Below are 14,251 nucleotides of genomic sequence, written 5' to 3' on the forward strand. Positions count from 1 at the left end.
AAAGGAGAACAAAGTTTTCATGAATAATGCTGCATATTAAAATGCTTGCTCTCTCTGATGGTGATTAAGATGGATGCAGCATCATACTGACTTTTGGAGGGAGTGGGAGTACAGCTGACAATTTTCCCATCAGAGCTTTTCACGAAGAAGGAGCAACTCCCAGGTCCCCCCGCCACTTCCCTCCTCCTGCTCCAGCCTGCCTTTCCTGCACAGCTTCTGGCTGCTTCTAGGCACTGGAGGAGGAATTCATCAGGGGCTGACAAGTGGCAAATGACATTAGCTGCCAACTATATTTTTTTAAATGTGAACACAACCGGGGTAATGTCTTATTCCCTTCTCCCTGTTTCCAGTCCCTGTGCCTAACAATAGTGCCTGAATCCTGGTAGGCACATGGTATTTCGAATTCCTCCGCGGTGGGCATTTGTCATTTTCGGCTATCTCTCGTTCCTTTCCTCTTCTTCTGTTATCAAATGCCTTTCTTTTCTTTTGAGGAGCCACTCCCTTCCTTCAATTTATGTGGTTCTGGGGATTAAAGGAGCTAATTCTGTCAAATTCTTAAAATACCGCCTTAATTAATATTAGCTATCATTATAGCTAATATATCATTACAGCTAATATTACATTATAGTATAGTTAATGAAACACCCATGACACAGGATACCATAAATAAAGAAATTTTGAGAGTGTATGAAGGGCCTTTTATAACTAAAAAGATAACAATTATTTTAAAGAATTAAATAAGCATAAGAGTTGGAAGATAAAATTAAGAACATCTCAGAGGAAGTAGAACCGAAAGACGAAGATACAGAACACAGAGATACATACATATGTTTAATTTGAGCATCAGTTCAAGATGTCCAGTATTTTCAGAATCCTCAAAAAAAAATAGAAGAGGGATTACAGAGGAAAGAAAATTATCAAAGAAAAAATAAAAGAAAAAATTCCGGGTTTGAAAAATATTATTTTTCGTATCAAAAGATGTCCTTTCTAACCCAGTGCTGAGAACAAAAAAGTGAAAAAAGCAGTCAAATCAGGATGTATCATCATCACATTTTAAAAGAAGGGGGGAAAGAGAAAATGTTTCAATGCTTTAAAAGAGAGAAACAGCAGATCATGTACAAAGCATTGGAAATCAGTATGACATTGGATTTTTCCACAGTAATGTTAGAAACTAGAAGACACTATAACAGTGAGTTAAAAATTCTGACTACTAATAATTTCCAGATTAGAATTCTATCCTCATTCAAACTATCGATCAAGTATAAAGGGGAGCCTAGATTTTTTCTTCAAATTTGCAAGTTTTCAGAAAGCTGTTGCACAATTTATTACACCAAAATGAAGGAGTAAACTAAAAGACAGAAATAATAACTTTTCTTTTTTAAAACTTGGCATTTTATTATTATTATTATACTTTAAGTTCTGGGTTACATTTGCAGAATGTACAGTTTTGTTACATAGGTATACATGTGCCCTGGTTGTTTGCTGCACCCATCAACCCTTCACTTTCATTAGGTATTTCTCCTAATGTTATCCCTCCCCTAGCCCCCCACCCCCCAGCAGGCCTCCATGTGTGATGTTCCCCTCCCTGTGTCCATGTGTTCTCATTGTTCAACTCCCGCATGAGTGAGAACATGTAGTGTTTGGTTTTCTGATCTTGTGATAGTTTGCTGAGAATGATGGTTTCCAGCTTCATCCATGCCCCTGCAAAGGACATGAACTCATCCTTTTTTATGGCTGCATAGTATTCCATGGTGTATATGTGCCACATTTTCTTAATGCAGTCTATCATTGATGGACATTTGGGTTGGTTCCAAGTCTTTGCTATAGAAATAATAAGTTTTCTAAAGAGGGGATTCAAGCAGAGAGAAGAGGCAAAGATAATAATCAGAAATCATTTTGAAGAGAAGCCCCTAGATGACAGCTGGGAAGTAGGCCTAGAGGGCAACTAACCAGATTAGAGAAGGAAGATGGAGAGATTAGAGATAGAAATAAAGGGTTCCTAGCAAAGCAGTGGAACTAATAACCAGTAGAATAACAAATGTATTTGTCTGTGGGAAAAAGTGTTAAAAGGGTTTCTAGTGTTCTGTGGAGACTCTGAAGTAATTTATCCATAGGAAACTAAACAGATTTCAAAATGAGGCAACTCTCAACTCCAGGAAAAGCATAAAGTTATAGAACTAAGAAAAGATAGTCAAAATATACACCTTGACTCAATAGTGCACTTAAATGTACTGAGTCATTTAATGAACAAGTTATATTGTAAACATGGAATGTTCATTTAACTATATTTGAGATGTAAATTTATTGGACGGGTTGGGGAGCAAAGTGGTGTTGGTGGTGCTATTCCTGCTGCTTTTCCTTTTTTAGCGCTAAATTCTCATTTACTGTAAAAAAACCTAATTTCTAAATTAAGAAATATATGCAGTCATATGAATATATTATCTATAAACCTAACTAAGTGTATAGAAGAAATAGCAAGAAGTTGTAAAATTTTTATTGTGCCTGGAGCAGGACTTGGGAAGGTTGGGAACATGGGAGGTTGCTTTTTGTCAGAAGATTTGTAATATAATTTAAAAATCTTTAGAACTAATTATGTGTATTATTTTGTTAATAAAAATGAATTTTAAAATAGGTAAATGACATGAAGAGAGTGTTCCCAGACACAAATGCAAGTGAAAAAATGCTCAATCTGAGTCAAAATTAGAAAAATATGAATTATACTTAAAATGTGATATGTTAAACACATTAGGTTGAAAAAATTTTAAAGTTTGATAATATAATCAGGGACGGTATGGGTAAACAGTATTTTAAATTTTGGAAGTGTATTGATACAAACTCTCTGAGTAAAAATTAACACTGTTTGTCAAAATACGCTTTCATTTAGCATTTCTACAATGAAGAATTTATCCTACAGATATTTTCTCATGTGTAAACAGAGATATATTGCAGTAAGAATATTTATTATGACTGGGCACAGTGGCTCATGCCTGTAATCCCAGCACTTTGGGAGGCTGAGGAGGGTGGATCACTTGAGGACAGGAGTTCGAGACCAGCCTGGCCAACATGGCAAAACCCCGTCTCTACTAAAAATACAAAAAATAGCTGGGTGTGGTGACGCATGCCTGTAATCCCAGCCACTTGGGAGCCTGGGTCAGGGGAGAATTTCTTGAACTCAGGAAGCGGAGGTTGCAGTGAGCCGAGATCGCGCCACTGCACTCAAGCCTGGATGAAAAGGGTGAAACTCCATCTCAAAAAAAAAAAAAAAAAAAGAAAGAAAAGAAAAAAAACAGGCGTGGTGGCTTTCGTCTGTAATCCCACCTGTAATCCCAGGACTTTGGGAGGCTGAGGCAAGTGGATCACTTGAGGTCAGGAGTTTGAGACAAGCTTGACCAACATGGTGAAACCCTGTCTGTATCAAAAATAAAAAATTAGCCGGGTGTTGTGGCAGGCGCCTGTAATCCCAGCTACTCGGGAGGCTGAGGCAGGAGAATTGCTTGAACCCAGGAGGCAGAAGCTGCAGTGAGCCGAGATCATGCCACTGCACTCCAGCCTGGGTGATAGAGCGAGACTCTGTCTTAAAACAAACAAACAAACAAAGTAAATTTAAAAAATTGTTATAACACTTTTTTTGATAAGAAAAAGAATCAAGCAATATGTTACTGATCACATGTCATTGATACCTCCATGTAACTTCTTCAATCAGCAGTCACTAAGTGTTCGTTGCGTGTCAGGCACTATTCTAGGCTTTGGAAATAAAGCAATAAACAAAACTAAGTCATCACCCTCATGGAACTTACATTCTCATGGGTGGAGAGAAACAATAAATAAACAAATAGGTCAAGCGATACAAAATGCTACAGAAAAAAATGAATTAAAAGTAGAAAGAAGGTGGTGGGAGATGGCAGCTATTTTACGAGAGTGGTTAAGGATGGCCTTTCTCATCAGGGAAGACTGGAGCAAAGATCTGGAGGACGTGGGAATGGAGAAAGCTGCATTCCATGAAGAGGAAGCAGCAAGAGCCAAAGGCTCAAGGCAGGAGTGTGTGTAAAATACAAGATAATAATATGCAGATACTTAAAAAAGAATGAGGCAGATCTGATATGGAATGATCTTGAACATATATCCTTAATAAAAATATGGGGGAAGAATAGTATTCTGCCATTTATGGAGAGAGAAAGGTAGAGACAGAGAAAGACAAATGAGTGCTTATATGCGTGCATAGGTAGAACATCTCCGAAAAGATGAACAAGAAACTGGCAATAGTGATGTCCTTTGAATATTGGACCTGGAAAGGGCATTGAGAGGAGCATATTAAGTTGGTGCAAATGTAATTGCACCAGCCACAATTATGTTTGCACCAACCTAATATTTATTTATTTATTTATTTTGAGACAGAGTCTTGCTCTGTCACCCAGGCTGGAGTGCAGTGGCATGATCTCAGCTCACTGCAACCTCCACCTCCCAGGCTCAAGCGATCTTCCCACCTTGGGCTCCGAGTAGCTGGGACCATAGGCGCGAGCCACTATGCCTGGCTGATTTTTGTGTGTTGGTAGAGGTAGAGATGGGGATTTATCATGTTTCCCAGGCTGGTCTCAAACTCCTGAGCTCAAGTTATCCACCTGCCTCGGCCTCCCAAAGTGCTAGGATTACAGACGTGAGCCACCGTGCCCGGCCAACACCAACCTAATACTTTAAATGTAATATTTTGACTTTGATTTTTTTACAGGGTGCAGGTGTTTGCTATTTTTTAGAACATACCTATTTGAAAAAATGGTTAACGTTAGGAGAGAGGAAGAAACTATGCCTCCTTTCAACTGGTTTATACATTTAGGATTTTTTTAGTTTGGCAAGAGGCATTGAAATGTCTAGCAAATTTCATTCTTCTCTGTTCATAGGCAAATAATAAGTTTCGAAAAATTCAGGATAGGAACTACATGGGATTAGAGGCCACCCAGGACAATGAATGCAGATTTCAAGCTCTCCTGATATGGTTTCTCCACTCCATTCCCCATGGTCAGGTTGGCAGTTAATGTTGGGTGGTGAGATGCTAGGAAATAATCTCCATTTTGCATCTTATAAAATAGCTGTGGTAACTCTTCTCTCTGGCCAGGTGATCCCTGTCTTAACTTTTGTTACCTTGAGGACTTCAGGGGCCATGGTTATTGGAATAAGTAGAAGTATTCAGCATATGGCATGAGAATCTGGCTATGGTAGGTTTCCAATACCACTGTGGATATAAGAAGAGCAATGGTATCCATTTTTCTCTACCAAGAGCCAGGAAGCAATGGTACTCTGGACCTCAGGCTACAGCAAACATCTTTCAGGGTGGGGAGACAGCAACCTTGAAGCTTTAAGGACAAGAAGTCCATAGGTTATGTCTGGCAAGAGCGTTTTCTTCCGTGAAGGAAAATGAAGAGAAGTTCAATTCCAACCTTTTCCCAAACAGCCATGATCTGCTAGACACAAACACAAAGATTTGATTTTTAAATTAATATTTAAATACATTTGGCATGAATTCATTCTTTTTATAAAAAGTTTGAGGGTAAATCCATCCAAATTAAAAATGTCTTCTCTGTGAAGGACCCCATTAAGAGGATGCAAAGACCAGCTCCAAACTGGGAGAAAATATTTGAAAACCACTATCTGGTAAAGAAGTAGTATCTGTAATCCATAAAGAATGCTCCAAACTCAAAAGTAAAAACAAGCAAACAATTCAATCAGAAAATGAGCAAAAGACAGGAAGAGACAGTTTACCAAAGAAGATATGCATGAAAAAGAAGCACAGGTAAAGATGAGAAATGTGAATTAAAATAACAATGCGATATCACTACATGCCTATCAGAATCGTTAAAATAAAAAGTAGTGGCAACACCAAATGTTAGCAAGGATGCAGACATTAATAAATTCATAAGTTTCAGATGGGAATGTAAAATGGTACAGCCACTCTGGAAAACAGTTTGGTGTTTTTTACAGAAAATTAAACCTGCAAGAATCAGCAATTGTATTCTTGGGCATATCTGCCAGAGAAATTGAAATGGACATTCACACAAAAATCTTTACAGGAATGCTTATAGCAGCTTTATTCATAGTAGCCCCAAACGGAAGCAATCTAGATGCCCTTCAAGGGGGAAATGCTTAAACAAACTGTGGTATATCCATACCATGAAATAGTACTCAGCAAAGAAAAGGAACAAACTGTGGTATATCCATACCATGAAATAGTACTCAGCAAAGAAAAGGAACAAACTGTGGTATATCCATACCATGAAATAGTACTCAGCAAAGAAAAGGAACAAACTGTGGTATAGCCATACCATGAAATAGTACTCAGCAAAGAAAAGGAACAAACTGTGGTATATCCATACCATGAAATAGTACTCAGCAAAGAAAAGGAACAAACTGTGGTATATCCATACCATGAAATAGTACTCAGCAAAGAAAAGGAACAAACTGTGGTATATCCATACCATGAAATAGTACTCAGCAAAGAAAAGGAACAAACTGTGGTATATCCATACCATGAAATACTACTCAGCAATGAAAAGGAACAAACTACTGGTACACATAACAACTTGGATGAATCTCAAAGGAATTATGCTGAGTGAAAAAAGGCAATCCAAAAATGCCACATACAATATGACTCCACTAATATCCTTGAAATGACAAAATTAGATGAGTGGTGGCTAGGGATTAAGGATAGGGACAGGGCAAGAGGGAAGTGTGTGTGAGTAAGAAAGGACACCATAAGGAATCCTGTGGCAATGAAACCCTTCTGTACTGTGACGGTGCCCATGGATATATGAACCTACACATAATAAAAGTGCATAGAGCTAAATAGACACACACAAATGAGTACAAGTAAAATGGGAAATCTGAAGATCAGTAGATTATATTAATGTCAATATCCTGATTATGATATTATACTATAATTTTGCATAATGTTATCATTAGGAGAAACTGGATAAAGGGAGCACAGGATCTTTCTGTATTATTTCTTACAGATGTTAAAAATTAAAAGCTGAAATCCCAATGGTTTCCATCTGTAGTCATAGGATCTCCTCCACCTCACCCTGGAAGTGTCCACTTACTTTAATGCGAGTTCTATGCTGGGAGAAGAAATGGCCCTTTGAATTCAGACAAGTCTGGATTCAAATTCTGATTCCACCACTCAGTAGCCTTGAGGGAGTAACTTAATTTCTCTGCCTAGCTTCCTCTTCATAAAACAGGATCCAATAATAGTACTTAGCTTGTTCCAAGAATCTAATAAATTAATACATATCAGTTTCTTAGAAGTGTGTCTGGCACGTACTAAATTCTCGATATTATTTTTATTATACACGTATCTTTGAAAACGTGTAGCATGATTTTCTTTGATGTGGATTGTTGTTTGTTTTATACAAACGATGTTATGCTTCTATATCAGTCTGTTATTTGCTTTTTCCTTTCTGCAGCAATATGTTTTAGATTCCTTTCCATGTCAGTAAATATCAAACTGTCTCATTTTAATTGTTATTGTAATGTTTAATTACTTTGTAATTGCTGCATAGTATTCCATGGTATGGTTATATTTAAATTTATTTACCATTTCCCTACTGATGGATATCTAGTTTGTTTCTAATGTTTTACTATCTAAATTCATATGCGTGTCTCTCTGGGCTACATATGAGAAATAGAATAGCTAATTGACTGAATACGGCTTTAACACTTTCAGATGATATGTTGAGAGTCAGTGCTATCTATAAACGATTCTGTGCCTTCCCCTCCAGCAATAATTTAAGGAATCTTCTTGCCACTTAAAATAAATCATTGATGTGTAATTCACATATTATAAAATTCATCCATTTCTGTACATTTACATAGAATTTGCAACCAGCACCATGACTTACTTTGTTATGGGTTGAACTGTGGTATCCCAAAAAATGTATGTTGGAGCCCTAATTCCTAGTACCTCCAAATGTGACCTCATTTGGAAATAGAATTGTTGTAAACAGAATTCAATTTAAGATGAAGTCATACTAGAGTAGGGTGGACCTGACATCCAATATAACTTGTGTTCTTATCAGAAGAGGGAAATTTGGACTCAGAGACAGACAGGGAGAACATCATATGAAAATGGGGGCAGTGACTGGATTCATGTTGCTGCAAGCCGAGTGATGCCTACAGCTACTGGAAGCTGAAAGGAACAAGGAAGCTTCCTCCCCTAGAGGATTTTTTTTTTTTTTTCTTGAGACGGAATCTCTCACTCTGCCACCAGGCTGGAGAGCAGTGGTGCCATCTCAGCTCACTGCAACCCTCGCCTCCTGGGTTCAAACGATTCTCCTGTCTCAGACTCCCAAGTAGCTGGGATTACAGGCACGTGCCACCACGCCTGGCTAATTTTTGTATTTTTAGTAGAGACAATGTTTCACCATGTTGGCCAGGATGGTCTTGATCTCCTGACCTGGTGATCTGCCCGCCTCGGCCTCCCAAAGTGCTGGGATTACAGGCGTGAGCCACCACACCTGGCCTGCATTATTCTTTATGGTGCATTTTCACTGATGAAAATGACTCGCTAACTATGGTCCGTTACACCCTTAGTCTCAGTAGTTCTCCACCATTGGAGTGAAACTCAATTATGAAATTTTCTTGGAGGGTGAAAATCCCCTCCTAGAAAAAAAAAAGACATGTATCTCCTGGATCTCCACACTACGAAATTTCACTGACAGTGTTAGAATACTGAGAGCCGTGAAGCCTCTTCTACAAGCCTTGGTATTTCCATGCTCATGGGGAGGTCAGTAGTACCTGAGACAGCCCATTCCATCCTGGGAGCTCTATATCCTACAAGGTAATTCCTGCAGGTTGAAATCCAGGTTCTGGTGGCTTCCACTTATTCATCCTGTGGATTGAGATGTGGAACAGAAGAAAAAGGAAGGATCAATCCCAAGAGTCAAATAGGATTCTATAGAAACGTGAATGGGAATGATTTTCATGCCTCTAGCAAACTCTCAGAAGGGGGAAATAGTGCAGTGGGAAATCCCAGAATTTGGGGAATTTTTTTTTTTTTTTTTTTAAGACAGAGTCTCACTCTGTTGCCTGGGCTGGAGTGCAGTGGCTCAATCTCGGCTCACTGCAACCTCCACCTCCCAAGTTCAAGCAATTCTCCTGCCTCAGCTTCCTGAGTAGCTGGGACTACAGGCATCCACCACCATGCCCAGCTAATTTTTGTATTTTTAGTAGAGACAGGTTTTCACCATGTTGGCCGGGCTACCTTGACCTCAAGTGATCCACCCATCTCGGCCTCCCAAAGTGCTGGGATTACAGACATGAGCCACTGTGCCTGGCCAGCAGAATTTGGACAGTCTTTTGTTTGAAAATCCTGGTTCTATCATATGCTAACTCTCTGGCTTTCAGGGCTTATTGGTAGCCTTTCTGAGCCTAAGTCTCTTTTGTCTGTAAAATTGAAAAATCTGGCACATCGTAGATGTTCTATCCTCAATGGTTTTAGATGGAAGGGAAAACCTCATGTGAACAAAAGAAAGGACCTCATTCTAGAGGAGATGGAAAAGAGGTGGAGGGGAGGAAATTTCCACGTCTAGTAGCATTCTTCCAAATGAGATGATCAAGTCTTTAATACAGAGAACCTTTGTAAAAAATTTTATAGACATTATTTTTTGGAGTAGTTAGGGGCTCAGAGCAAAACTGAGTAGAAGGTATAGAGTTCCCATATACCCTCTGTCCTATACACGCATAGCCTCCCCTGTCATTAACATCCCCCACCAGAGCGGCACGTCTGCTACAATTGATGAACCTACATTGACACATCCCTGCATTCCAAGTCCAGGGTTCACTTTTGGTGTTGTACATTCTGAGGGTTTGGACCAATGTATAATGATGTGTATTTACCATGATAGTATCATACAGAGTAGCTTCACTGCCCTAAAAATCCTCTGTCCTCCACTTATTCATCCCTCCCTCCTGCTATCCTCTGGCAACCCCTGAGCTGTTTACCCTCTCTGTAGTTTTACCTTTCCCAGAATTGTCATTGAGTTGGGATCATACAGAGTGTAGCCTTTTCAGATTGGCTTCTTTCACTTAGCCATATGCATTTAAGGGCCGTGTCTCTTTATGGCTTGATAACTCATTTCTTTTTAGTTCTAGATAGTAATCTATTGTTCATGGTAAAAGTGGAAAGCAGTTCACTATGTACATGTGTATCAAAATATTATGCTGTACATCTTAAATATATACATTTAAAAAAGAAAACATTTCATTGTCTGGATGTACCACAGTTTATTGATTCACCTACTGAAGGATATAGATATTTTATTGAATTAAATTAGGGCTCCATTTTACAGCCCAGGGATCATAGCATGGAATCAGCAGGTGGCAGCATTCCAGATCACTTGGAACTCAAACAGGTCCTCTGATTAACCTAGGCTCACAATGATGTACTCCAAAGGATAGGTCTTAGGTCTCTAAAGTCCCAAAACCCACTGCATTAAGAGGTTAAAGAAATAAAACTGATTTGCTGTGGAGGCTGCGATTGTCCTGGAAAATCACAATGCAATATCTCCACTGGCTATAATCACTGAGGAATTCCTTCTGCCCCTAAAGGGTTGGCACTCTTGCGTAGGATGGGTGCTCTTGCAAGATCTAATCCTGGAAATGCTCTCCATTCTCCATTCTTTTTTCCACTTACTTCTAAGGACAATACTGGGTTAGGCACCTGGCTTAAAGGAGTCTTTGAAGATCCCAACTGACAAGTGCAAAATATACGACTTGAAAAGAAAATCAGAATGCTTTGCCTTGGTTTGCTGAAGTGTGAAGTACATAGAACTTAAATACTATGTGGGTTTTTTCTAACCTTTTTTTTTTTTTCTGTAACTGAGCCAAAAACCAAAAGGGATTTTTTCTCTCTCTCTTTTTATAAGATACCAGGTGCACCAGAAGCAAGCATGCATTTTCTAAAACCAGTGAACCATGACATCAGAAGATTCTTAAGTCACGCCAGAACCAAACCTGCATTTCATCTAATCTCTGATCTAAATTAGGCCTCAGACATGCAATTGTTTTACCCAGTTGCAATCCAACATGAAGTGTGTTTGTTGGGCCTGTCTATCTCGGCTCAGTTGTGTTGTGGTCCAGTTCTGTCTCACTGGTTCTCTGCATCTGGGTGGCTGGCTGTCTTTGTCCCTCTGTGTTTCTATACTTTGTCTCTCTGCTTTTTGCTTTCAGTCTCTCTGTTATTCCGCCTGTGATCTTTCTCACTCTGCTGCTGCCCTTTTCTGAAGTGCTTTCAACACTAAGTCACGTTTAAGAGCACGTTTAAGATTTCAAGCTTAGGCTTGAAATCACCTCCTGCCTCTTTCTTCAGTCTCATCTGTCAACATGCTTAGAAGGGTATGTGGCTTGTAACAAGCATGTTACAGTCATTCACTATTATGATTCCCCACATTTGTGTAGCACTTTTCCAGGTAGTTTCTGAGATCAGCACGCTGGGTGACACCACAAAATGGAAAGAAAGGCTTTGGGAGAAAGAAGATTTCATGGGCTGATGAAAAGAAATACTTAGGTGACTTCTCTTGGCTGTGTGTGTCTTCTCATATCTTTCACAAGAGGCAGTCTGAGATATCTCAGGCAACTGCAGGGTATGCATGTGGCATATCTTGATTTTCGTAACACTTTGGCTGCTGAATCTCCATTCCAACCATGGCAATCTGTGAAAGCAAGAATATTGAGGAGAAAAGAGTAAAGAAAAGGGGAGACAACATGAGAGAGAACAGGAGTGGAGAAAGAGGATGAGAATTAAAGAGAGGGTAGAAAAGAGTTGATAAGAGTGACAGTAAGAGGAAGAGAAGGCAAGAGATAGAGTGACATTCACTGAAACCATAAAGCAGTGTGTCCTGCTGAATAGAGTAAGTGAGATCAACATGAACCCTTGGAAAAAAGATGCTATAGCCCACATTATTGCTCCTTACATTAAATTGTACTAAATATAAGTCTATTATCTGCTTAACTTAGTCTTGGTATAATTCACTGTGCTGCTGTAGGCCTCAGTTTCCATCTGAGGTCTTGCCTTTGTAAGCAAAACTGTAGCTCTGTACAGCAGAGATTTAGCTCCTTCACAACTGAAAAAAGGCTAAAGAAAGGGAAAACAAGGCACTTGGTGTTACAGAGTTAGAGAGAAGAGATACTGAAGTATTATACTTGGAAGCAGCAAACAAAAATCAGTCCCCAACGAATCTATGCCGTGCCATCTGCAGTCAATATGCATTATTACAGTTACACAGATGGCTGGGTTCGGGGGGAGTTCCAAGCCAGTGGTTCTAGACCTTAGCAGTGCACTGTGATCACCTGAGAGCTTAAAAAACATCTCAGTGTCCAGGTTCCACCCTAGATCAATTAAAGGGTGGAATCCAGGAATCAATATTTTTGGAGGCCCCCAGGTGACTCCATTGTGCAGCTAAGGTTGCAGACCTCTGATCTTGGATAACCCTGGGAGCCAAGCAACAAAGTTTTTGAACTCTGTAACCTGACTGCAGGTAAAGTAGCTCAATAAATGACTGTACCTGTTGGGTAATAACGGTGGCAATTCAGGGACTGTCAGAGGACTATGAAAAGTCCATCTGTTTGGAATGATGCAGATTTAATCAAATGATATTCTTCAAAAGTGACTACCTCATTCTCAGACATTTGGTTTGCCCCGAGTGTCTGATGGTCCCGGTTTGCTGGTATCTGTTTATAGCCATCTGCTGCCAGTGATTGTGGAGGTGAGGAACAACGTGTTGCCAGCTGAGGTGTGCAGCAGGGCAGCTTTCCTACCTGGTTTTTTCCTGGGAGGAAAGGTATCTTCACCCCTGGGAGTAAAGGTACCTCGAACATCCTAAATACACCTGTTATGGATTAGTTGTGTCTTCCTAATATTCTTATGTTGAAGTCTTAACTCCCAGTGCCTTAGAATGTGATTGTTTTGGAAATAGACTCTTTGGAGCTGTGATTAGTTAAGATAAGGCCCTACTGGAGTGTGATGACTTGACAGCTCCCTTCTTTTTAGTTCTAGATAACAATCTATTTTTCATGGTAAAAGTGGAAAGCATTCCATTATGTACATGTATATTAAAACATTATATTGTACACCTTAAATATATACATTTAAAAAAGAAAACATGTTTCATTGTCTGGATGTACCACAGTTTATTGATTCACCTACTGAAGGATGTAGACCTTTTACTGAATTCAGTTGGGGCTCCATTTTACAGCCCAGGGACTACAGCATGGAATCAGCAGGTGGCGGCATTACAGATCACTTAGAGGTCAAACAGTCCCTCTGATTAACCTAGGCTCACAATGATGTACTCCAAAGCATAGGTCTTAGGTCTCTAAAGTCCCAACACCCACTGCGTTAAGAGGTTAAAGAAATAAAACCGATTTGCTGTGGAGGCTGCGATATGACTGGTGTCATATAAAATGGGGAAATTTGTACACAGAAATATGCACACACGGAGAACACTGTGTGAAGATAAAGGCAGAGACCATCTGCTTCTATTAATATAAACCAAGGAGCACCAAAGACTGCCTGCAAAGCACGAGAAGCTAAGGCAGAGGCCTGGAAGGGATTCTCTTACTCACAGCCTTAGAAGAAACCAATTTTGTTGACACCTTGATTTTGGCCCTCCAGAGCTGTGAGATGATAAATGTCTGGCTTTTAAGCGAAACAGGTCGTGGTACCTTGTTACAGCAGCCCTTGGAAACTAATACAACGCCCCAGGATGGGAGAACAAATTCTGCCCACTGATGGGAACCAAATGGAGGCTTTCAGGCCTGGGGGAAGGTGTGCCCTGAACCAATCAGCTGGCCCCATTCCAAACCTGCTTCAAACTGATCACACAGATGTTTGCTCCTGATACCCTCGTGCTCACTGTATCCACTGTTGGGGGATTGAAATACCCCAAGCAGGGCCAGCTCCACGGGTGTGTGACCTGTGCAGTCACACAGGGCCCACTCCTATTTTAATTCTCTGGTGTTGCCATCTTGAAATTCTTAATTTTTGAACAAGAGCCCAGCATTTTCACTTTGCACTGGGCCCCCCAAAATTGTGTGGCCATTCCTTTCCCCAAATGTCTCACCAACTTTCCCTCTTTCGATCAGATCCCATCTACTTTGTCTGAATTTCTTATTGTGTCTGATCCACTGATGTCACCCCCTTCTTGCTTTCAGTGATATTTTTGTAGAAGTTTCCTTTTTAATACTATTGTTTCTGTTATTTGTAGGG

General features: G+C 39.8%; 1 protein-coding gene across 4 annotated transcripts in view, besides 2 other annotated features; it reads left to right on the top strand.

Annotated features, from left to right (window-relative positions):
• SHISA9 (shisa family member 9) overlaps positions 1-14,251 on the top strand; it is a 661,420-nt gene that overhangs the window by 477,683 nt on the left and 169,486 nt on the right. The gene's annotated exons all lie outside the window — the stretch shown is intronic.
• Positions 10,912-10,971: an enhancer, noted in NCBI's record as "active region_10481". NCBI's record gives its function as "activates an Ori minimal core promoter by ATAC-STARR-seq in GM12878 lymphoblastoid cells {active_cell/tissue: GM12878}" and the evidence as "EXISTENCE:reporter gene assay evidence [ECO:0000049][PMID:35858748]".
• Positions 11,382-11,431: an enhancer, noted in NCBI's record as "active region_10482". NCBI's record gives its function as "activates an Ori minimal core promoter by ATAC-STARR-seq in GM12878 lymphoblastoid cells {active_cell/tissue: GM12878}" and the evidence as "EXISTENCE:reporter gene assay evidence [ECO:0000049][PMID:35858748]".

The sequence above is a fragment of the Homo sapiens genome, chromosome 16 (genome assembly GCF_000001405.40).
Source record: "Homo sapiens chromosome 16, GRCh38.p14 Primary Assembly".
Taxonomy (NCBI): Eukaryota; Metazoa; Chordata; class Mammalia; order Primates; family Hominidae; genus Homo; species Homo sapiens.